The sequence below is a fragment of the Homo sapiens genome, chromosome 18, assembly GCF_000001405.40.
Source record: "Homo sapiens chromosome 18, GRCh38.p14 Primary Assembly".
NCBI classification, from domain to species: domain Eukaryota; kingdom Metazoa; phylum Chordata; class Mammalia; order Primates; family Hominidae; genus Homo; species Homo sapiens.
Window position 1 is genome coordinate 79,372,551 of NC_000018.10, and position 22,236 is coordinate 79,394,786.

Sequence of the window (22,236 nt, forward strand, 5' to 3'; positions counted from 1 at the left end):
CTTAGTAGAGCCAACAAGACGGCAGGTCAAACAGAAGACAACATGAACGTCTAACCTCAGGCACCAGTGGACACGTGTGGGACCCAGGCAGCTTCTTCAGGATTCGGGTGTCAGGAAAAGGCGCCCGAAATGCTGGTAGACCAGGTGGCTGGGGTGGCATGGATGGGGCTTATGGACCTGGGTCTTTCAGAAGTGACCCATAGCTCACTCCTGGAAGGCGTGAGTCAAGCAGGTGGTTCTGCGCACTAACGACGCTCTTCCACTGTTTCCCTAGGGAAGATCCTTGTCCTTCAAAACCTTCCTCATCTGGGTTTTAATAAGTATTTACCAAGGTAAGACGAGATCCTTAGTTTACTGGACTAAAGATTTTTTTATTTTGGTCTTTTTGTTAGCAATATTGTTTTTACTTGCAGATTAAATTCCAACAGCTTAAAATGCCATCAGCAGTTAAATACTCCCTTCTGTTTATCTTGTAAATCAATATTCCAGCAACATGGGTCCTTTTTTTTTTTTAACTGATGCATGCCACCTAAAAACTGACTTAGTTTTTAATTAAATGTTAATCCAGAAAGATTTTAACAAGCACTTACCACATTGTATACCCTGCACAATGGCTTTCTTTCATAGAGTGATAAAAAGACTTTGAGAAATCTGAGTTATGTAAGGAGAAGCCATTAGCTGCCCTTTGTTTAGTGTTCAGATAAATGGGAGATTGTTGCAAGTATAACTAACAGATCAGATATATTAATTACATGCAACACATAATTATTTACACTAATTGAAGTAGAGGTGTGGCTTCGTATCCAGAGATTAAAAAGTTTGTCTGCCTCGATTTGCCATTTCTAACTGATGTAGCTAGGATCCCATCTTATTTTGTCCATAATCCAGAGTTTAAGTGACTTGTTCATCAGCATGAAGCATGGGCATGGCCATTATCCGCCTTTTTTTTTTTTTTTTTAGACAGAGTCTCGCTCTGTCACCCAGGCTGGAGTGCAGTGGTGTGGTCTCAGTTCACTGCAACCTCCGTCTCCTGGGTTCAAATGATTCTTCTGCCTCAGCCTCCCCAGTAGCTGGGATTACAGGTGCGTGCCACCACGCCTGGCTAATTTTTTGTATCTTTAGTAGAGATGGGGTTTCAGCATGTTGGCCAGGCTGGTCTGGAACTCACGACCTGGTGATCCACCCGCCTCAGCCTCCCAAAGTGCTGGGAAGACAGACATGAGCTGCTGCGCCTGGCCTATCCCCTATTTTTAAGGGTCTTGAGTGACGTTGCTGGTTCAAGGCTGTTTCCTCTAGCTGGCTTACACCCTGCTCGTGTGCATGGAAAAAGCTCCTGCTGTTTTTCAGGCGGCATCCTCATGTATGGGGCCCTGGTGCTCTTCGAGTCTGAGTTCGTCCACGTGGTGGCCATCTCCTTCACCGCACTGATCCTGACCGAGCTGCTGATGGTGGCGCTGACCGTCCGCACGTGGCACTGGCTGATGGTGGTGGCCGAGTTCCTCAGCTTAGGCTGCTACGTGTCCTCACTCGCTTTTCTCAATGAATATTTTGGTAAGTTGCCTTGGAATTGTTTTTTGAATCGTTCTCTATTCATGATTTTGAAGTATTTTCTTATTGTTGCTTCTGAATACATTGTGTTAAGTTGTGGATCATGGTAAAACCCATATCAGAAAGTGCCTGCTCTTACTGTCCCTGCACCACGGATGAAGGCGCTGAGCCCCGTCGGTCACTGGCTGGCCGGTCCCCTGACAGGAGGCGCTGAGCCCCGTCGGTCACTGGCTGGCCGGTCCCCTGACAGGAGGCGCTGAGCCCCGTCGGTCACTGGCTGGCCGGTCCCCTGACAGGAGGCGCTAAGCCCCGTCGGTCACTGGCTGGCCGGTCCCCTGACAGGAGGCGCTGAGCCCCGTCGGTCACTGGCTGGCCGGTCCCCTGACAGGAGGCGCTGAGCCCCGTCGGTCACTGGCTGGCCGGTCCCCTGACAGGAGGCGCTGAGCCCCGTCGGTCACTGGCTGGCTGGTCCCCTGACATGAGCAGCACAGCCACTCGGGAGCAGTTGGGACTCAGACCTGCGGGAGGTGAACACAGCCGCGTGTGCACTTGTCCTCGTCTCAGTGCCTGAGTGTCCATGCAGTGGTGAACCTGTACGTAGGAAAATGTGAAATGTTCCTGTTCTTACATAAAAGAACTCTCAGAAAATACCCGTGGCTCATAAGAAATGGTTATTTTCAAGTTATAATGTGCTAGTTATTTTTCTTTTGAAAATTGGCTCTTAGAATATTTTCCTGTAAGATCATGAATTAACACACTCAAGGACACGTGAACACACTCAGTGCCACAGTGAGCTCACAAAACGACAAAGACATGCATCACGGGCGTGGGCAGGACTCACCACGACTTTGAGCCTCAGCTTTTGCATCTGCAAACTGGAGACGGTATCACTTCCCATTAGGGGCGGGTCTGAAGATCAGTAGTAACACGCTTACATACATGTGAATGAATGTGCAGAGCTCCTTTCACACCTGCAGAACATGGCCAGCCCTCCAGCGCGTGCGCCTTCTGTGCTGAGCTCCTCTCAGACCTGGATAGGTCTCTGTCTCCTAGGGGAATGCCAAGGTGTGTGCTTCTCAGACACAGGAGCCTTTAGCTATTGGGTTTCAGTGATGTTTAAACAGTTGTATGGTATCAGGCAGGGAAATGAGATGTTAAAACCACATTGAAAACGCAGCTTGCACTGCCATTTTATTGCTTTTTAATGTATTTCTTATTCTTTTGCTAACCCCTTGAAATATCCTGGTATCTCCTTTAATCTGTCCTTTATTTTCTTTATTACTGTTTTGGAACAGGTATAGGCAGAGTGTCTTTTGGAGCTTTCTTAGGTAGGTAAAGTTATCATTTCTTTCAAAAGTGTAGAAATTTAGCCAAACAATATTGATAAAGATACTTAACTAATAAGAAAAACAAACCTTCCTCTAATTCAGTGTTCCTCAGGAACTCTCTGATGTCACGTAAACTGGTGGCCATGTGCTTGCTCGGCTAGTCATGGGCTGAGTGCTGTTGGCTTGCCTGTTCAGGGGCTTGGTGGCCCTGAGTGAGGGGAAGGGGCCGGGCATCCTGCCATCTGCTGAGGATTGCATGAGCCCCTAAAACATATTTGCCTTTTCAGTTGTAGGGGCTGAGCTGCTGGAAAACACTTCCAGGGTCTTCAGAAAATGAGTACACACAAACTTAGGAATTCCCCTTCATACAGAGATCCAGCGCTTCCCTGTGTCATTTATTTTACAAAGGCCTCTAACTCTGCTCCATAGATCTTTTTATCCCATCCGGCAACAGTCTAAAGGGATTTCCACTATATGTAGATTCGAAGTATGTAAATCTCCAGTTTCTCATCTGCCTCTTTTCATGCGGAATTCAAGTAGCTAGTCATTAGCAGTACAGCTTGGTCCTGGTGAGTAGATGGTTCTTCTGTGGAGATGCTGGGAGGGTGACAGGCGAGAACATTCTCTGGGTGGGCCGGGCTCAGAGCCTCTAAGAGCAGACCGGTCTGAGTATTTGTGTTGCAGATGGAACTGCCAGCTGCCCTCTGTTGCCCCCAGCCCCTCATAAAGTCAGCTCTACCTTAGAAACACACACACACACACACACACACACACACACACACACACACAAAACAAAACAAAAAAATGGCTAGCCTAGATCGTCCAAACAAATCCCACAGGTTAGGTGAGCTGGTGTCTCTTCCCTAAGCACCACAACTAGTACTTCAGTGCCTTCACAAATTCTGCCACAGAGTGTTGTCCACCCATTCAGTGGTGTTTGGTGACATTAGTCATCTGCAACCATTTTTTTTTTTTTTTTTGAGACGAAGTCTCACTCTTGTTACCCAGGCTGAAGTGCAGTGGCACAATCTTGGCTCACTGCAACCTCTGCCTCCTGAGTTCAAGTGATTCTCCTGCCTCAGCCTCCTGAGTAGCTGGGATTACAGGTGCCTGCCACCACACCAGGATAATTTTTGTATTTTTAGTAGAGACAAGGTTTCCCCATGTTGGCCAGGCTGGTCTCAAACTCCTGACCTCAGGTGATCCACCCACCTCAGCCTCGCAAAGTGCTGGGATTACAGGCGTGAGCCACCATGGCCGGCCTACAACCTTTTTTTTTTTTTTTTTGAGATGGAGTCTCACTCTGTCCCCAGGCTGGAGTGCAGTGGCGTGATCTGAGCTCACTGCACCCTCCACCTCCCGGGTTCAAGCAATTCTCCTGTCTCCACCTCCCCGGTAGCTGGGATTACAGGTGTCCACCACCACGCCCGGCTAATGTTTTGTTGTCTTTTTTGTAGAGATGAGGTTTTCCTATGTTGGCCAGGATGGTCTCGAACTCCTGACTTCAAGTGATCCGTCTGCCTTGGCCTCCCAAAAGTGCTGGGATTATAGGCATGAGCCACTGCGCCCGGCCTGCAATCTATAATGCTTTGGTTTTGTTTTTTCCATTAAAAGAAGAATGAATTATGCCCGGTATGCAGGTCAAACAATTCTGCAGTCAAGAAAACCTGAGATTTGGAGCTGGGCCCCTGTAAATGCACAGTGATGTTTCCGTGGCAAGCTTAGACCGTCTGGTGGCCTGGCCAGGTCTGTGGCTGTGGCCATGAGGGCCCAGGACTTCTTGGTCAGCTCTTACCTTTTTCTCTGTTTCCTGCCAACAGATGTTGCCTTTATCACCACCGTGACCTTCCTGTGGAAAGTGTCGGCGATCACCGTGGTCAGCTGCCTCCCGCTGTATGTCCTCAAGTACCTGAGGCGCAAGCTCTCTCCTCCCAGCTACTGCAAGCTGGCCTCCTAAGGGGCTGTGCACCCCCAGCGGGCTGGCCCCAGCACCTTCTGCCCTTCCCAGCACCTTGTGCCCTTGCCAGTGAACGCAGGGTTTGCCATTGCTACCAAGCAAGCACCACAAGAAAGGGAGGGTACGCCAGGCGAGCCCAGGGCACAGATGCTGAGACAGCCTCTCCTTCTCAGTGCAGGGACGTCACCCCTGCCAGGCAAGCCCAGGGCACAGATGCCAGGATGGCTTCTCCCTCTCAGTGCGAGGCTTCACCCCTGCCAGGCAAGCCCAGGGCATAGATGCTGAGACAGCCTCTCCCTCTCAGTGCAGGGACGTCACCCCTGCCAGGCAAGCCCAGGGCACAGAGGCCGGGACGGCCTCTCCCTCTCAGTGTGAGGCTTCACCCATGCTAGGCAAGCCCAGGGCACAGATGCCGGGATGGCCCCTCCCTCTCAGTGCGGGAACGTCACCCCTGCCAGGCAAGCCCAGGGCACAGATGCTGCGATGGCCTCTTCCTCTTAAGTGTGGGGCCTCACCCCTGCTTTTCTTTCTTTTTTTGTATTGTCAAAATTGTATTTCCATATTGAAGCAGCTTGAGTTTCTACTGAAAATGAGCCCGAATTATTTCACTATTACTGTAAAGGGTTCATCTTACTCTGGCATTCTGAGAATTAGACTGAAAGTTTAATTTCTGCAGTTCCCTCATATTCAGATTCTTTCTTTGATGTTATAACACAAAGTCATTCCTACTCAAATGTAATAAAATTGAGGCTCCACGGAGGCCCGTGTCCACATCAGCTGCAGCTCCCACTCAGACAGACGGCCTGCCCCACAGCCTGCCCTTTGCTGAAGATACCCTCGCTTTATACTTGCATTTCGCTTTTCAGTAAAAACAGTCAAGTTACTGAGTTCTCACATAAAGAGCTCTTCTCACACACTCTAAAGGCAAGTTGCGTAAACAGTGGCGTTTCCGAACGCAATTCCATTGCGGCCACCAATGTAAATCATTGCCCAGAGACTTTGCTGCTAGCATGCGTGTCCTTCCCATCCTTTTTCTATTTGCAAAATCACACTCGAACACCATTTCTATATATAGAGATCAGCTGTCCTGTAAAACTCAAATCCCCTAAGATGGCCCACTTGCCTGGTCATGGGTTTCCTATTTTATTTGGCTGGAAACAGGCACCGATTGAGGTGGATGAAAGCCTGTGCGGCTGCCCCGCTGCATTCATGGTGTCGCCCAACCAGACCCCTCGCTTCTGGGAAGCTGGGAAGGTCTTTGGGGCCAGGAGTTCGTTTTCTCAGTTGTGTCCTGTGCCTGGGGTGTTCCTCGAAACCGGTGTGTTGTGCCGTCGTCTGCAGCCATGCCTGTTCTTGGAGGCCTCAGCAGAAGTTGGTCAAACGCCAGGCCTCTTGTCTCAAAGGAGAGTTTCTCCGTATTTTCCACGCAGGCGGCAGCCTCCGCCAGGAGTTTCACCTGTTCATTTTCTTCCGCGTCGTTTCCCATCAGGGTGGGCCCCGTCACCTGAAATGCTGGCGGAGCTGTGTGCGTGGGGTTCCGAAGGCGTTTCACCAACCAGCGGAGGGACTGCCCAGCACCCACCCGCCCTCCCCCGCAGCTTTTCAGAGGAGAAAATAGGCACAGAGAGCAATCAAGCTGCCTTTCTTCCCGATACCGCATCAGCGCCTGTTGAATGGAATTCCTCTGCCGTCATCTGTCGGCGCTGGAGCATCCTGAGTTTCCGGACGGGCCCGGCCCTGCGAGGGCGCGATTTCCTGCGCTCCCACAAGGTGTCGCTGGCGTCCGCTCGGTGATGTGGGCGCGTCTGGTCGCTGCCGGAGGCTGCCTGGGAGTTTCCCTTCTGTGCCCCGAGTTGGTGTCTCCTGGAAGTCACGTCCTGGCTGGGGCTGACTTGGATTTCACCTGTCTTTTCGCTTCTGCCGCAGCAGTTTGCGTTAGGGGCATTGGGACGGTAGAAATCTTAAGTCCACAGCCAGCAGCTCAGGAGATGGGGTCACACACTCAGGCCTCGGGGGTGGAGGCCAAGGGCAAATCAGAGGCTGCTCCCCCGTGCACCTTTAAAAGTAAACCACCCACCTGTGAAACTGACTAATAGAATAATAACATTGTCGATAACCTCAGAAAAGCTGAACCCCTGAGCCTTTGGGAATAACACTGCAGTACAGCTTTCAGATACAGAAACGACCAGCCTTCGATCAGTTGGATCCTGATTGGGAGACAGTTGAAGATTTGTCTCAAGAAATCGAGATGTATTAAGGGCAGGTAGAGACTGGAGGAGGAAGGGGTCTTTTCCTCCGTAAACGAAAATCACCCCCTGCGGGGGCTGCTGCTGTGAGGGTTAAATGAGATGCACAGGGCGTTCCCAGCAGACGACGGGCATGCAGCAAGGCAATCAGAACGGGGTCTGTGACACGGATTTTCTGCTAAAGAAAATAATAGCCCACTAAAGGGTCATTAGATCGGCATTAGATCTAGTTCCAGCTCTAGTTCAGGAGCCAGCTCGGGTCAGGCGAGGGGTGGAGAGGCTGTGTTTCCACCTGCTTGCGGCGTAACCTCATCGCTTTTTAGGTTCTGGACCTGTGTCAGCCCTAGAAATTCTGAGCCGGCCGTACAGCCCCAGAGGCCTTCAGGAGGGCGCCCAGCCTGGGGAGAGCATTCTGCATGTGTGGAGTCGGCGGTGCTGCATGAGCAGGAGCCCATTCCTCGCTTCTGCGTGTCATGGGCAGCGTCCAGTGCCGCGCTGGCCCCGTGTTTCTAGGTTTACATGTAGAGGCGTGACCCTCACGGTCCTGTCCGCGGCCCGGAATAGCTGGTCACAGGAAGGTGCGTGCTGCGGAAGAACCAGCAGGGCCCGCAGCCTCGGGAGACTCCTTGGAAAGGGGAGGTTGAAGCCGAGACCGGGAAGATACAAGCAAAGCCTGTCATCAGAGCAGCTCATGCTCAGACCCGAGACTGGGGCCTGGTGCTCTGGGGTGATGAGAGCAGAGTGCCAGCCGCTCAGCAGGGGCGGCAGGCAGGCGAGGATTCGCTACTGCTTTCCATAGTCTCATCCGATTCCAGTTCAGTGACGGCCAGGCCTTGAGGGCCGCACTGCGTTCCTGGAGCCCATAAGTCTGTACCCCCGATGGCCACCACCAGTGCCTTCCTCTCCTGTGAGGGCCCAGCAGACAAACTGGTAGCAAGACCCCGACAGTGGACCAAACAAGCTGGCCTTACCTCCCTTCTGTGATGGTCATGGGCAGGCCCAGATGCACCCTCCCTAGGGTCGGGGACTCCGCTGGGGTCAGCACCTCCAAGGGCCCCCCCGGCACAGCTGAGCAAACCCCTTGGTCCCACTCAGCAGCAGCACCCCCAGCCCCCCAGTCCACTGCACAGGGCCAGACTCGGCCTGTGGGCACCGCCCTCAGGCCTGTGTGTCTCTTTACAAAGATGCCTTATCCTGGAGACTTCCAGGTTAGTTGCAGAAATCATGCAGAAACCACGGAGCTCACACAGCAAACTGTCCCCCACCCACCCCGCTTCCCCAGCACATATGTCCTGGGCCACAGAGGGGACGCCAGGCCCCCCTTGCTGGGCTGCAGGTCCTGCCACTGCAGATGGGTGTCATTTCAGGCGGTTCCAGAAGGGGGAGCCAGAAGCCACGAAATGGCACCTGCGAGGCCACCAGGGTGGACATCCCAGCTCTGGCTCGGATTTTGGGGGTTAGAGAAGTGGATGGCTTGGGGATTCCTCTGAATATGGTGTCCTGTTGAGCACCAACAAGCAATCCCTGAAACGGCGTCCCCAGGAAGGCCAGTTTGCTCTAGCTGAAGAGTTTCCAACCGTCCCACGAGCACTTGTACAGAGGAGGCATTACTTGTGTCTGGATGGGAATTGTGTCCCCCGCAGAGGGCTGCAGGGCAGCCTGAACTCCCAGCGCCCATCCCAGGTGCCAGTAGGCCCCTAGGGTGGGCCTTGGGACCACGGCCAAGCAGAAGCCCAGGAGGAAGGGGGTCCTCCTGCCAGTTCTGCCGAGTCCTAAATGCTTACTGCTAATGACAGGATTTTCCAAAATGGATTGTCCTGCACCTGTGGGCCTAGAAGGGAATCCAAAAATCCTCCAGCCCCACCTCTACCTGGGTCCTGAGAGTTCTGGGACCAGAAGTCTCCAGGCGCTGAGCTCGTCGGCGCTGGGGGTGGACGTCGCCCTGGCTGTGACCCAAGATGCGAACAGAAGTGTTGGGGTCCGGATCTAGAAAGATGGGTTAGCACAGACATCGTTTGGATTCTAACAGACCATGTCCTGGAAAAGACACAACGTGGCCTTTGGAATATTCGCCCCTCGTTAAGGAAGAGAGGGAGGCCCTGAGATCAGGCGTCGCTGCAAGTCAGAAATCTGGATTCTTAGGTGAAGTCTCCGTTTTAAAATTGGGCTCCCAGCACTTGTTGGTGTCATTGGGTTGCCTGGGATACTGTGTGGGACAGCTGAGGGGCACCGTCTGCCGTGGCCAGTTCCCCCGTCACCGCAAAGCCCAGCAGCAGTCAGCCTCAGACCTTCTTCCTGTCCTGAGAGGCCCTCTCACAGCTTGCCTCAGTTTCTCCCTGGGATCAAACACGGCTGTGTTTGAAGGCGGGAAGCCAGCAGGGCTCTTGCCCTGGAGTAATGGGATGTCATGATTCTCACTGATTTCCTTGAGGAGACCTTTCCTCAGAGGCTGCGTTGCCAGCCCCGTGCAGAGCAACCCGCGGCCCTGTAGACCCTGTTCCTTCCTTGGGGCATCCTGCTGCGGTGAGGCCTGGCAGGATGACTCCTGACCTCCCCCATGGGCCCAGGAAGAGATGAGCAAAACGAGGGCAGTCCCGAGTGTGCCCCTCCTCTCCCACCTGCAGCTGACCCGGGCCAGGCTGTGCAGGAGAGCTCGGGCGAGGAGAAGGAGCTGCACCACCAGCTTCCATTGCAGGCGCCCTCTGCCCTCAGGGACACTTTTAATTGTCTGCATTTCGGTTTGTCTGTACTGGGTCCAGTTGTAGTCCCTCAGAAGTTGTAAACCTAAAATTCACTGTCTGTAGGTGCTGGGGAGAAAATGCTGCCCATTCTAAATGAAGGTTTGTTCCTGTGCCCACACTGTACGTCCAGCACGATCACAGGAAGCACTCCGCCAGAGGAGGAGAGTCTACGAGAGCTCCCAAGTTCTCCCCAAAATAGCTCGGGCGTCCATGCACTACCTCTGGGCTCTGGGACTGCCCCCTTCACTTCCATAGGCAATGGGGAGCCCCATGCAGACAGTGTGCGTTAACCGGGGTCCTGGGCCACATGTTGATGCTGACTCCCAGGCACAGATGCTCGTGTGGACCCTGCAGGGCCGGTGGTCAGGGGCTGTGAGTGCCCAGTCCAGGATGCGCCAGGCTTCCGGGCCACCTCACCCTGCTCCTCTCCTGCTGACCCGCCAGGATGCACCAGGCTCCCCGGCCACCCCGCCCTGCTCCTGTCCACCCTTCTTCTGTCCCACTGCCCTGTGTCCTCTTGACCTGAGCCTCGGCTTGTCCAGCTGGGGCCGTCCAGGTGGGAGTGACTGTCTATGACGAGAGAACGAGAGAGAACCGGGTCCACAGGACAGGAGCAGGGTGCCAGTACGGGGACGTCACAGCTACGGTCCCCTCACCAGGGGCACTGGCTGTTTCTAGGAACCACCTGGACTGATGCCAGCCACGGCCCCTGCGAAAATTCTTGCAGTAAGAGGAGAGCAGGGTGGGCCGGGAGAGAATCAGGCCCTGGGCTGCGCCGTCATCGCTCAGCTCTCAGCTCTCAGTGACCTGAGGACCGGGAGTCCAGACCCATCGTGGGGACTGTGCAGGGGGCCCAGCCGGGGCAGGGGGTGTGCAGGGGGCAACTGTGCCAGGGAACCAGCAGAGACATGGCTAACAGTACAGCCTGGCTAAGAACCATGGGGTTGTGCACTTAGGGAACCGCAGCAGCCCTGACACTGACTCATGGGGCCGGTTGAGCAGGGAGGTGCCGGCAACAGGTGAGCTGTGGGGCCTGGGGACCAAAGCCAGCCTCCCTGGCTGTGCGGGCTGGGAGACCTTGCAGGGCTGGGGCACAGGGAACCCGAAATGCGGAACCCTAAGCACGGTCTGTGTTGGAAAAGCCCATCCTGGGCTGGTCTGGGCATCCTGATCCTGGGTCATGCCCACCTGCACCCGTGGGGCTGCAGCCTCTCCTCTGGGGCCCGGCTCGGTTGCCTCGGCTCTTCCAGGCCCTCCCCGGACCCTGCCCCAGTCCACAGGCCACCCGTGGGTTCTGAAACGCGCCCCTCAGTGTGGACTCAGGAAGACAGGCCATCCCCTGCAGCCCTTCCCAGAGCCTGCAGCTCCAGCCCCACACGAGTTCTCAGGAGCACTGCGCAGCAGCAGTGACAAGGAGGTGCCCGCCCCACTGCAGGTTGCCCAGAGCTCACGGCCACCCAGATCATGCACCGGGGGACCTGCAGGTGTGTTGCTCCCAGGTGTCCAGGCTGGCTGGTCACTCAGCTGCACACCTCTGCAGCCCCGTGACAGTCACACCGCCCAGAAGGGAACACCCCGACCTGCAGCCCCCTGGCAGGCCCACTCTCCAGGCCTAGGCCAGACCCATGGCAAAGATGGGGGCACCCTGTTCCCCTCTGCCCCAGCCTCCTGTGAGGACTGAAAACCTGAGAACACAGGAGTGGTGAGGGAGGTCCCTCAGCGGTGACCAGACACCACACCTGCCGTGGGGAGAGAGAGAGGGACAGAGACAGGAGAGAGATGGGGAGAGAGAGGGAGAGACAGGAGAGACACGGGGAGAGAGAGAGGAGGAGAGAGGGAGAGACGCACTCCTTGTCCCTGAGGCACCCTGGGGACCCCAGCGGGGTCACCTGCAGGGACCCCAGGCTCCATCCACCAAGAAGGGGCGTGTGGGAGAGCACCAGAAAGACCACAGCCCCCAGGAAGCTACACACACAGTCACCACGCCATTAGAGAGAACAGAAAGCAGAGAGCTGGAAGAGCTGCCTGCCCACCACCGGTGCTCACAGCAGCCAAAGGGGAAGGCCACTCGAGTGTCCGTGGACAGAGGAGGGACCCACAGTGGGGCCCAACCCATCCACAGGGATGTGACTCAGCCTTAACAAGGAAGGAATTCAGACACGGGCCACACTGCAGATGTACCTGGAGGATGTCGTGCCGAGCTGAAGACGGCAGGCACAGGAGGACAAGCCCCATGCCAGTCCACTCACTGGAGGCCCCGGAGTTGTCAGATCCATGGAGACAGACAGCAGGTGGCGGCCAGGGCTGGGAGGGAGGAAAGTCCGTGTTTCACGGGCAGAGCTTCAGTTTGGGAAGATGAGAAAGCTCTGGAGATGGATGGTGGAGATGTTTGCACAACGTGAATGCACTTTACAAAATGGCTAAGATGGTAAATTTTATGTTATGGCTATTTTACCACAATTAAACCCCAAAGGGACTGTCCGAGCGGGACGGAGCCAGCCGAGCCTCAGGTGCAGGTGCTGGGCAGCTCTGCCAGGCACTGACCCGCAGCCCCACCCCCACCCTTGCTCCCGGCCTGCAGTGGCCACCTCGGTGTTGAGGGTTCATGTGCCCTCGCACTTTGGCAGATGCCACTTCCTGTCTCGCAGAAGAAGTAAGGCCCTGACCGGTTTATAAAGAGCACCCATCTTCTCCGGCACCAGACGGCCCCAGCCTGGCATCTCGATGAGTGAAGCGTAATGAGCCAGAATTGCAGGATTAAGCTTCACTTGAAACTCACTCCGGTTCAAAACTTAATGGAAAAAATGCCTGGCAAAACTTGTTTGGAGCTTTATTGAACCAAAACACTTTAGAAACCGTTGGGGAAGCTCAGTGAACCCAGGCTGTGGTCCAGCCCCACGCTTTGTCTAGGGCAGGTTCCGTTCCCTCAAGCAGGTGATGGGAATCCCGGACTGGAGCCTGAGGCTGAGCAGCCAGAGGCCACACCGCCAGGGCCAGGCCACACCGCCGGGGCCGGCCACACCGCCGGGGCCAGGCCACACCGCCGGGGCCAGGCCACACCGCCACGGCAGGCCACACCGCCGGGGCCTGCCTCATCGCCCCACAGTCTGGAATGCTCTGCACACGCATCAGAAGGAGAGTCGCTGAGCATCACAAAGGAAAATAGAAAGCGCAGCCTCACTGCCCAAGGCCGGGGCAGAGATGACTTGCCTTGTGTTACTGCCTAATTAAACAGATTTGGGTAAACAGATTTGGGTAAACCAAGTAGTTTAAAGAAAAATGTTGGAATATTGCCATTTGAAAAGTATTATTATTTTGCAAGAGGAAAACAATTGTGAGTTCACAGGGACAAACCCAAACTCTTGCCAGAAACTAAAAATGTGATTTATTTACCTCTCGACCAGCGTTAGCAAAAAGAGCAGGCCTGCAGGATCAGGACGCGGCTCTGGGCCCTCCTGCCTCAGCCCTCCGGCACTGTGAGAGGGGCACACACCCGGGGTGGGTGTGCTTGTCCTGCGAAGTGCAGAACAGAGAAGAGGCTCCGAAGCACAGAGCGCCTCTGCCCTGGGCTTTGCACACATTCCTGACTTCTTAAGACACAGCTGTGCAGGACCATTGCATCTCCGTGAAGCTGTCCTCATTGGCCTCAGGCTGACCCGGGCCCCTGGCACTCGAGGGCCAGGGAAGGGGTCATGTCTCCCTGAGACACACATGTGGCATCCTTTCCCCGCCCCCGTGCACACCAGTGGAGTGTCAGCTCAGCCCTGTTTGTGCTTTCTAAGAGAAATCGAGGTTTAAAGGGGACTTTTTTTTGCCTAGCGTGGTGTGTGAGGCCCAGATGGCTGCAGCAGCTGTGCCGGGCTTGCCCGGCCTCCTCACCGGGAGCTTCCCTCTGGCTAGAGTTGCTGTTTCATCTGCCTGTGTCCCTGCGGCCCCACCCCCATGGAGGAAGCGAGGACCCTGTTCAGCCATGGCCTTCCTGTGAATTAGGCCTCCTTCAGGTGCAAGTGACAGAATCCACATTAAACTCGATTGAGCAGAAAAGGGAAGTTGCTTCCTCACCAAGGTGAAGACCCCAGGGGAGGCTCTCAGGTCCCACTAGACTCAGGGGCTCAAGCAGGGCATGGAATCGGCCTCTGGAGTCCCTGTCTCCATGGCAGCCCCGGGGTCCACATCTTCCCCAGGAGGGCACTCTTCAGGCCCCGGCTTCAGAGGAAGAGAACGCCATTCCCTGCGGCTGTGGGGCAGCAGCAGGCACACCTCCCTGGCCTCGGGTGGGCTCTGCCCCTGCGTGGGCTATGGCGGGAGTGGGAACATTCCCGTGACCCCCCTGGAGTTTAGGCCAGGCAGTGGAGGTCCTCGAGCAAAGGTCATCCCACAGGGAGTGCTCTGTCCAGTAGGAGCATGGCGCCCATGTCAGGGCACTGGCCTGGAAGGGAGCGTCTTAGTGGAGGCTGTGGGTGCTGCCAGGCCACCTGAGAGGGGACATGCATTGTAGGAAAGGCCACAGCGCACTGTGACAGGTGTGGTATCCTGGAAGGAATGAAAAACACTGCCCGGCCAGGCGCGGTGGCTCATGCCTATAATCCCAGCACTTTGGGAGGCCGAGGCAGGTGGATCACGAGGTCAGGAGATCGAGACCAGTCTGACCAACATGGTGAAACCCCGTCTCTACTGAAAATACAACAATTAGCCAGGTGCGATGGTGGGCACCTGTAATCTCAGCTACTCGGGAGGCTGAGGCAGGAGAACTGCTTGAACCAGGAAGGCAGAGGTTGCAGTAGCCGAGACTGTGCCATTGCACTCCAACCTGGGCAACAGAGCGAGACTCCGTCTCAAAAAAAAAAAAAAAAGAAAAAAGAAAACCACTGCCCTTTGGGTTGGTTTCCTGGGGCTGCCATCACAAATGACCACAAAGTGGGTGGCTTGAATGGCAGAAACATGTCCTCAGTTCTGGAGGCCAGAAGGCACAGTCGAGGGTCAGCAAGGCCAAGTGCCCTCTGGAACCGGCCACGGAGGTCCCTTCCCTTCCTCTTCCAGCTCGTGGTAGCCCCAGGTGCTCCTTGGCTCGTGGAGCCATCATTCCAGTCTCTGCCTCTGTCGGCTCACCACATTCCCTTTGTCTGTCTTCTCCTCCTGTGAGGGCACCAGTCATCATTGGGGTCCCCTTAACTGACACCATCTTAACTAGTTACAACTGTAGAGATGTCACTTACCAAATTAGGTCTCATTCCCAGAGACCAGGGGACTTCAATGAATCGTTTTGGAGGAGGCAGTTCAATTCACAACAGCATTGTTCTGAAATAATGATTAAGCTGTCTTGAGCCATTAGCAGGTGCCTCTCATTGATCTACCCTGAGAGGTGAAGGCCGTTACTATTGGCTCCCGTAGGTGTACCGGGGACTGGAATCCAAACTCGGGCTGTGGGCAAGCGCCTTCTCACACGAGAGCTGACGTGCTCTGTGAACCCGTCCCCGGGAAACTGGTCAAGTTAAAAACCCCCAGCCATTGACAGTCTCTGGAAATGGTCCTAAGGACACGCAGCAAGTGAAGACACATCTATTGAAAAAGACCTGATTTTTTAAAAAACCATCTTTACTAGGAAAGGTGAATGTATTTGATATTTGAACCAAAGCCACCCCCTCCTCCCCTCCCCCTGCCACTCCACCAGCAGGTCTGCTGCAGCTGAGGACACAGGTGGGTGGGGGAGAGTGACTCTGGGAGGGCGGGATGTCGGTGTTTCTCATCCTGCCCCATCTGCCTGTTGCTGGGGCTGCTAGGTCCTGGGGAGTCTGGTGGAGGGGTGGGGGCTCCCTTCTTCCCGGTCCCCACACTCATGGGTGGGAGGCTGGGCCTTGGGTGTGGCTCACTGAGAAGACAGGGTGCAACTACCCTTGCCCCCGCTGACAGGGCAGTGATTCCAGGCCAGGGGAGGCCAGTGGGGTCTCAGGATGCTGCCCCCGTCAGCACTCAACTCCTGGAGGTGGAGGCGTCACTCACACTGAGGCTCGGCACTGTCCCCATCCCCAGCTCCAAAGCATTGGCTCAGAGATTTTGCCTGGAGTGAGAAGCAGTAAGTAAAAGAGATAGCTTCTAATCTCCTCCCAAAAGAAACGACTTCATTTTCAGCAGAACATGGGAGAAGGTGAAAGCTTAGGGTCCCCTCGAAAACATGGAGGTTGTCATCAATGGCATTTGGGACATTCATGGATTTAATGAAGATTTAGCCTAGATTTAGGAATGTGATAGCTGTGAGGGGCCTCCAGGGGTCAAAACAAATATCACACATGGACATCAGAAACTCTTGCTTCAAAGAAGGCACTATTTAATTGGAGTAGTTTGTAGAGTAATTTATGCCTCCAGATATTGTTAAAAACAATAGAGCAATCCAATGGCAGCCGTGGAATTTAACAGCTGGGTATGGTCAGGGAAAGAGAGGAAGAGATCTCTATCAATGTGGTCGGGGAAAGAGAGGAAGAGATCTCTATCAATGTGGTCGGGGAAAGAGAGGAAGAGATCGCTCTCAAAATCCTGCATTCCAGGGTGACTCTGGGCACAGGTAAGACTCCTCTCCCTAAGGAGCAAGCCAGAGGCATAACTCTACTGGTGGAGGGGGCAGTGTGTGGAATAGCTTCACTGCAGTCATCTCAGAAGTCACAAGACAAGTAAATAAGCAAATAACAAGCCCCACACAGGGGGACCAGTATCCAGAGCTGCTATAATACATTGTCTAAAATGCCCAGTTTCCAACAAAATAGGAGGCATGCAAAGAAACACAAGAGTATGACCCCCACATTTAAATTTTTTAAAAAGCAGACAACAGAAACTGCCTGGGGAATGACCAGATATTGGATTTAATGGGAAAAGGCCAAAATATCCCTTATATGCTCAGAGAACTAAAGTAAATCTTGATTAAAGGAAGCAGGACGACAATGTCACATCACGTAGAGACTGTTGATAGAATGTATAAAAAATAACCAGTGGAAATTCAGGAGTTGGAAGGCGCAGTCACTGAAGTGAACCATTCACTATTGGGGCTCAACAATCGATTTGAACTGGCAGAAGAAAGAAAGTGAATTTGAAGATACATCAGTAGAGAGTATGCAAGCCCCGAACAGAGAGCAGATAGAATGAAGGAGACCAAGGGGAGCCTCGGAGAGCTGAGGGGCACCAGGGACGCCCTCCAGGGCACCAGCCCACACAGGGGGTTCACTAGAAGGAAAGGAAAGAGGAAAAAAGGGATGCAAAAATATTAAAAGAAATAATGGTTGAAAATATCGCAGATTAGTTTAAAAAAATAACCTACAAAACCAGGAATCTCAATGAACTCCAACTGGGGCAAGCCTAGAGAGGCCCACAGACCAACACATTATGAGTAAAAATGCTGAAAGTCAATAATAAGGAGAAAATCTCAAAAGCCAAAATAATAAAATAAGGTATCACTTACAAGGGAACCCCAATAAGGCTAACAAGTGACTTCTAAGCGGCAACGATGTGAGCCTGAGGCAGTGGGATAACAGCCAAAGGAAAGGAGAGAGGAGGAGAGGGGAGGGGAAAGGAGGGGGAGGCAGAGGGAGGCAGGGAGGGAGGAAGGAAACCTATCAATCCCAAATCCTATGCGCAGCAGAGCTTTCTTTCAAGAATGAAGGTGAAATAAAGACTTTTTCCGACAAACTGAGAGTTTGTTGCCAGCTGACCCACCTTACAAAAAATACTAAAGGAAGTTCTTCAGGCAGTGAGCAAGAAACTTCAGACAGTAATTTGAAATCACATGAAAAAAACAGAGTGCCTCTTAAGGTAATTACGTAATTTCATAAGACAGTACGAATACATATTTTTCTCTTTTTATAACTGGTGTGAAAAGTGATTGTATAAAATAATGTATATAAAATATAATGTTGGGCCTATAACTTATAGCAATGTAATATATGTGTAGTGTATTGCTAATAACAATACAAAGAAAGGGAATGAGAACAAAGCTATATTGGACTAAAGAAATAACTACAGATGGTAAAATAATGGTTATCACAATGTATTCTTAGGTTTGTAACATTACTGTTTACAATGTAGAATGTATAAAAGCGGGAAGGGAATGGAGCTAGCTACATAGGGATAGTGTTTTTGTGTGTCACTGGAGTCGAAATGTATATGGTACATACTAGAGCAATCACTAAAACAGTAACAAAAAAAGTTTAAAAACTCAGTAGAAAATAATTCACTTAATGCAAAGAAGTCAATAAAGAAATAAATGAGGGGAAGACATAAGAAAAATAGAAAATGAAAAGTAAAGTGGAATAGAAATGAAAAGTAAAGTTCAATAATAACATTAAATGTGAGTGGATTTAACAACCAATCAGAAAGCAAAGGCTGTCAGACTGAATTAAGAAAACATGACCCAACTTTATGCCGTCTAGAGGAGACATACTTTCTACTCAAAGCTACACACATAGACTACAACGATGGGAAAAGACGACACACCAACAGCGACTTCAGGAAAGCTGGAGTGGCTGCTAATGTTAGACAAAATAGGCTTTTTAAAAAAGGTTTTATTAAAGAGGAATGTTTCGTAATGATAAAAGCACTAATCTGTGAGAAAGATACAACAATGATAAACATACGTGCAGCTAATAAGAGAGCTCCAAAATCTATGAAGCAAAAACTCACAGAATGAGGGGAGAAGCAGTTCTACAACAGAGAATGGGGACTTCGATACTCCACTTTCAATAATGGATACAACAACCAGGCAGATAACAAGGCAACAGAAGGCCTGAACAACAGTATAAACCAATTAGACCTACCAGATATCTATAGCTAGCACACTCCACCCAACGACAGCAGAATACACATTCTTCTCAAGCGCACAAGTAACATCCTCCAGGATGGGCCATGTTCTAGGCCATCAAACAAACTCAGGTGGTTTGAGGCCAGAGGCCTCTCTTTTAACCACCACACTAGGGCCTTCGGAGGAGGCAAGCAGAGAGTTGTCAAAGAGGCCCTCAGGACTGGGTGCAGTGGCTCATGACTGTAATCCCAGCACTTTAGAAGGCTGAGGCACAAGGATCTTTTGAGCTCAGGAGTTCAAGAAATGAGCACTTATCCACTGGGCGCGGTGGCTCACGCCAGTAATCCAGCACTTTGGGAGGCTTAGGCGGGCGGATCAAGAGGTCAGAAGCTCAAGACCAGCCTGACCAACATGGTGAAACCCCGTCTCTACTAAAAGTACAAAAATTAGCCGGGCGTGGTGGCGCACACCTGTAATCCCAGCTACTTGGGAGGCTGAGGCAGGAGAATCACTTGAACCCGGGAGGTGGAGGTTGCAGTGAGTGGAGATCACACCATTGCACCCCAGCCTGGGCAACAGAGCGAGACTCCGTCTCAAAAAAAAAAAAAAAAAAAAAGAAAGAAAGAAAAAGAAAAAAAAAGTGAGCATGTATTTTGCCAGAGTCTGGAGATTAGAATTAAATTAGCAAACCAGAATTATAGAAAAAGCTATTTACTTTTAAGTAAACAGCTGAGATTTTTTTTTTTAAGTCAGTGTGAATGAAGCTCACAGCCATGGTTGGAGCTGAGAAAGAAGGATTTCCCTTTAGTTATGCACCTGTGTCAGCACCTTCTGACTTTCCTTCTAAAGTCTGGGGTGTTCCTGAGGATCCGTAAGTTTGGGGTTCAGGGTTTCTACAGCATGCTGTTACTTGTGAAACATCTCTTTAACCATGTCCCAGAGTTGCCCAGGAGTTTAAGACCAGCCTGAGCAACATAGCAAGACCTCATCTCAACAACAACAAAAATTAGAAATAAATTAGCCAGGTGTGGTGACATGTGCCTGTAGTCCCAGCTACTCAGAAGGCTGAGGCATGAGGATCACTTGGGCCCAGGAAGTTGGGGCTGCAGGGAGCCCTGTTCATGCCGCTGCACTCCAGCCTGCAAGACAGAGCAGAAAAAAAGAATCAGGATCCTGGGCAGAGGGAGGAGAGGGGACCGGGGTCCAGCAAGCACTTGGGGATTGACTGAATGGCGTTGGGGAGAGATGACTCCAAAGTCCTGGAGTGGGTGAGAATGACTGCGAGTGGCTTTTAGGTGGGGAGGTTCCTGCCTGGCCACTCCGGGAGGGGACGTGGGGCTGAAGGGTATCAGGTGCCGTGCTGAGCAGTTTGGCCTTGATCCTAATGCCCTGGACACACGTCTAGGGTAGGAAAGTTGACTGATCCATTGGTGATCTGAGTTTTTAGACATGGTGGTAGTCCATGAGGTGGGTGTTCATGCTAAGAGTTTAGACAGGGAAACCTATGAAGCCCTTAGCAACCCTCCAGGGAAGGGGCGTGGTTAAAGAGATGTTTCATAAGTAACAGCATGGTATAGAAACTCTGAACCCCAAATGTATGGGTCCTCAGGAACACCCCAGACTTTAGAAGGAAAGTCAGAAGGTGCTGACACGGGTGTATAACTAAAGGGAAATCCTTCTTTCTCAGCTCCAACCATGGCTGTGAGGTTCATTCACACTGACTTAAAAAAAAAAATCTCAGTTTACTTAAAAGTAAATAGCTTTTTCTATAATTCTGGTTTGCTAATTTAATCCTAGTCTCCAGACCCTGGCTAAATAAATGCCCATTTCTCCAGATGGTCTCAAGAGTCTCTGGACATCGTGGGGGCCCTTCCCTGTTGGTTGGAAGGTGCCTCAGGAAGAAGGGGGTGGATTCTGAGTTGAGTCAAAACCTCAAAGACCCCTGATGGGAAAAGCTCTCAAGTGACCACCGCTGTGGGCCAGAATGCAAAACTGCAGGAACAGAACATTCGCAGGAACAGAACACAGTCGTATTAAGTGATTTTCCCGAGCAGGAAGTGGCATCTGGCCTGCGGTTCAGTAGGGGGAGGAAAGGGTGGGCGCACCTGCCCCTGGCTGGCGCACCTGCCAGGTAGCCCCACGCGGCACCGCGTGTGCCGAGCGCCCCTGAGGATGGAAAGCCCCACGCGGGGCAGGTGGCACCCACCCTCCGAAGACGGGACGGGATGGAGCGTTGAGCTTCGGGGCAGCTCCGGCCCGGCCCGCGCTGGAGACGCCCGCATCTGCCAGGATGGCGTCTCATAGCCCTGGTGCTCACACATGACGCCAGGAAGCCCCAGCAACAGTGACCGCCCAGGCTCTAGAAAATATTGGACGGGGTGGATGAACACCCAAGTGCGCTCCAGGAGAAGGGATTTGGCACCCCAAGGGGCTTTTAAAACGGTAAGCTTCTAGGGGTGTCTTTGCCCCCAATAATCCATAGAAACAACAGTCATCTAAAAATAGTCTTGTTTTCTGTCCTAAGCTCCTTTTAACTTTGTTAGTCATCACCAATCCTAAAATAAAACCCGTGTAACGTCTCCCCTAGTAGCGGCTATAAACAAACCTACGAGGAGGCAGGAGGAAGAGGAAAGGGGCGCAGGGCGCTCGGGGAGCAGAGCCGGGGGCCCGCGGTGGCCGCAGAGGCCGGGCCGGGGCGCAGAGGCCGGGCGAGCTGGCCGCGCTCTGGGCCGCCGCCTCCGGAACTCCCTGCGCCTGGCGCGCGGCCACCGTGGTCCCGGCAACGGCATTAAACAGAGGGAAACAGACCCGGGATTCCGTCACCCGGGCGGGGGGATAAGGACGGCTTTGAGAGCAGACAGGAAAAGGGAGCTTTTCTGCATGGGGTGAAAAAATTATTTATTGAAGGAGGAGGAGGCGGCAGCGGAGGAAGGGGAGGGGCGGGAGGAGGAGGAAGAGCCGGCCGCCCCCGCCCCGGCCCCGGCTCCTCAGGAGCCAAGGGCAGCCTCGCCAGGTCGGTCCCGGGCTCGAGGACCGCGGCTGGGGTCGAGGGGCTCAGTCTCCCACGTGACCGGCTGGGCGCGCCCCGCCAGACCCGGCCTCGGGATTCCCTCCTCCCGGCGAGTCTCCGCCCGCCCCGTCCTGGAGGTGGGGAGAAGGAGGGCGGGGCGGGGGGGACGGAAACTCTCCCCGCCAAATCCTGGCCCCAGGCCTGGGGACACTCGCGGCGGGAAGATTTGGAGGGGAGGGGAGGGGGAGGGGCGTGGGGGCGCGGCCTCGCTGGAGTCCCCCTGACCCCCCGACCCCCGCCCACCGGCCTGGGCGTCCTCCCGCGGCCCCTCCTCCCCTCCCGGCGCCCGGTGCTCTGGGGCGCGTGCCACGCCTGGCTCGGCGCCGTAGGGGCCCCCGCAGGTAGAGACCCCTGGAAATGGCCTCGACGCCGCAGGAGCGAGGCGGCCACCACCCCGCTAATCCGGGCACGTCTCTCCAGGCCGAGGCCTGCGGTGGAAAAGCCGGGGTTCCATTTGTGCTGAGTCGGGGCGGCCGAATGGAGCCAGGCCTCGGGACGCGGGACGGACGGGCTCTGGCCGCGCACCTTCGCGGGCTCTGCAGCGCCCGACCGCCTCCCCCGGCA

At 53.5% G+C, this 22,236-nt stretch overlaps 1 protein-coding gene across 28 annotated transcripts in view, besides 6 other annotated features; it reads left to right on the forward strand.

Moving 5' to 3' along the window:
* Positions 1-5,733, forward strand: part of ATP9B (ATPase phospholipid transporting 9B (putative)) — a 308,890-nt gene extending 303,157 nt beyond the window's left edge. For 13 of the 28 annotated variants that reach the window (XM_011525963.3, XM_017025728.3, XM_011525964.3 and 10 more), the window contains 4 exons: positions 275-332; positions 1,348-1,551; positions 2,844-2,876; positions 4,697-5,733. In XM_011525963.3, coding sequence (XP_011524265.1) covers positions 275-332; positions 1,348-1,551; positions 2,844-2,876; positions 4,697-4,833 — 432 coding nt within the window. In that variant the 3' untranslated portion in view covers positions 4,834-5,733. Of the gene's footprint in view, positions 1-274; positions 333-1,347; positions 1,552-2,843; positions 2,877-3,163; positions 3,446-4,696 lie in introns of those variants that run through there. The other 15 variants (XM_017025727.2, XM_017025730.2, XM_047437489.1 and 12 more) reach the window with 8 other exon arrangements.
* Positions 6,303-6,853: an enhancer, noted in NCBI's record as "H3K4me1 hESC enhancer chr18:77138853-77139403 (GRCh37/hg19 assembly coordinates)". NCBI's record gives its function as "activates a minimal SCP1, AML or CMV promoter by ChIP-STARR-seq in naive H9 embryonic stem cells {active_cell/tissue: H9 hESC(naive)}" and the evidence as "EXISTENCE:reporter gene assay evidence [ECO:0000049][PMID:30033119]".
* Positions 8,323-8,824: an enhancer, noted in NCBI's record as "H3K4me1 hESC enhancer chr18:77140873-77141374 (GRCh37/hg19 assembly coordinates)". NCBI's record gives its function as "activates a minimal SCP1, AML or CMV promoter by ChIP-STARR-seq in naive and primed H9 embryonic stem cells {active_cell/tissue: H9 hESC(naive and primed)}" and the evidence as "EXISTENCE:reporter gene assay evidence [ECO:0000049][PMID:30033119]".
* Positions 20,256-20,781: an enhancer, noted in NCBI's record as "H3K27ac-H3K4me1 hESC enhancer chr18:77152806-77153331 (GRCh37/hg19 assembly coordinates)". NCBI's record gives its function as "activates a minimal SCP1, AML or CMV promoter by ChIP-STARR-seq in naive H9 embryonic stem cells {active_cell/tissue: H9 hESC(naive)}" and the evidence as "EXISTENCE:reporter gene assay evidence [ECO:0000049][PMID:30033119]".
* Positions 20,782-21,306: an enhancer, noted in NCBI's record as "H3K27ac-H3K4me1 hESC enhancer chr18:77153332-77153856 (GRCh37/hg19 assembly coordinates)". NCBI's record gives its function as "activates a minimal SCP1, AML or CMV promoter by ChIP-STARR-seq in naive H9 embryonic stem cells {active_cell/tissue: H9 hESC(naive)}" and the evidence as "EXISTENCE:reporter gene assay evidence [ECO:0000049][PMID:30033119]".
* Positions 21,501-21,790: a silencer, noted in NCBI's record as "silent region_9570". NCBI's record gives its function as "represses an Ori minimal core promoter by ATAC-STARR-seq in GM12878 lymphoblastoid cells {active_cell/tissue: GM12878}" and the evidence as "EXISTENCE:reporter gene assay evidence [ECO:0000049][PMID:35858748]".
* Positions 22,011-22,130: an enhancer, noted in NCBI's record as "active region_13538". NCBI's record gives its function as "activates an Ori minimal core promoter by ATAC-STARR-seq in GM12878 lymphoblastoid cells {active_cell/tissue: GM12878}" and the evidence as "EXISTENCE:reporter gene assay evidence [ECO:0000049][PMID:35858748]".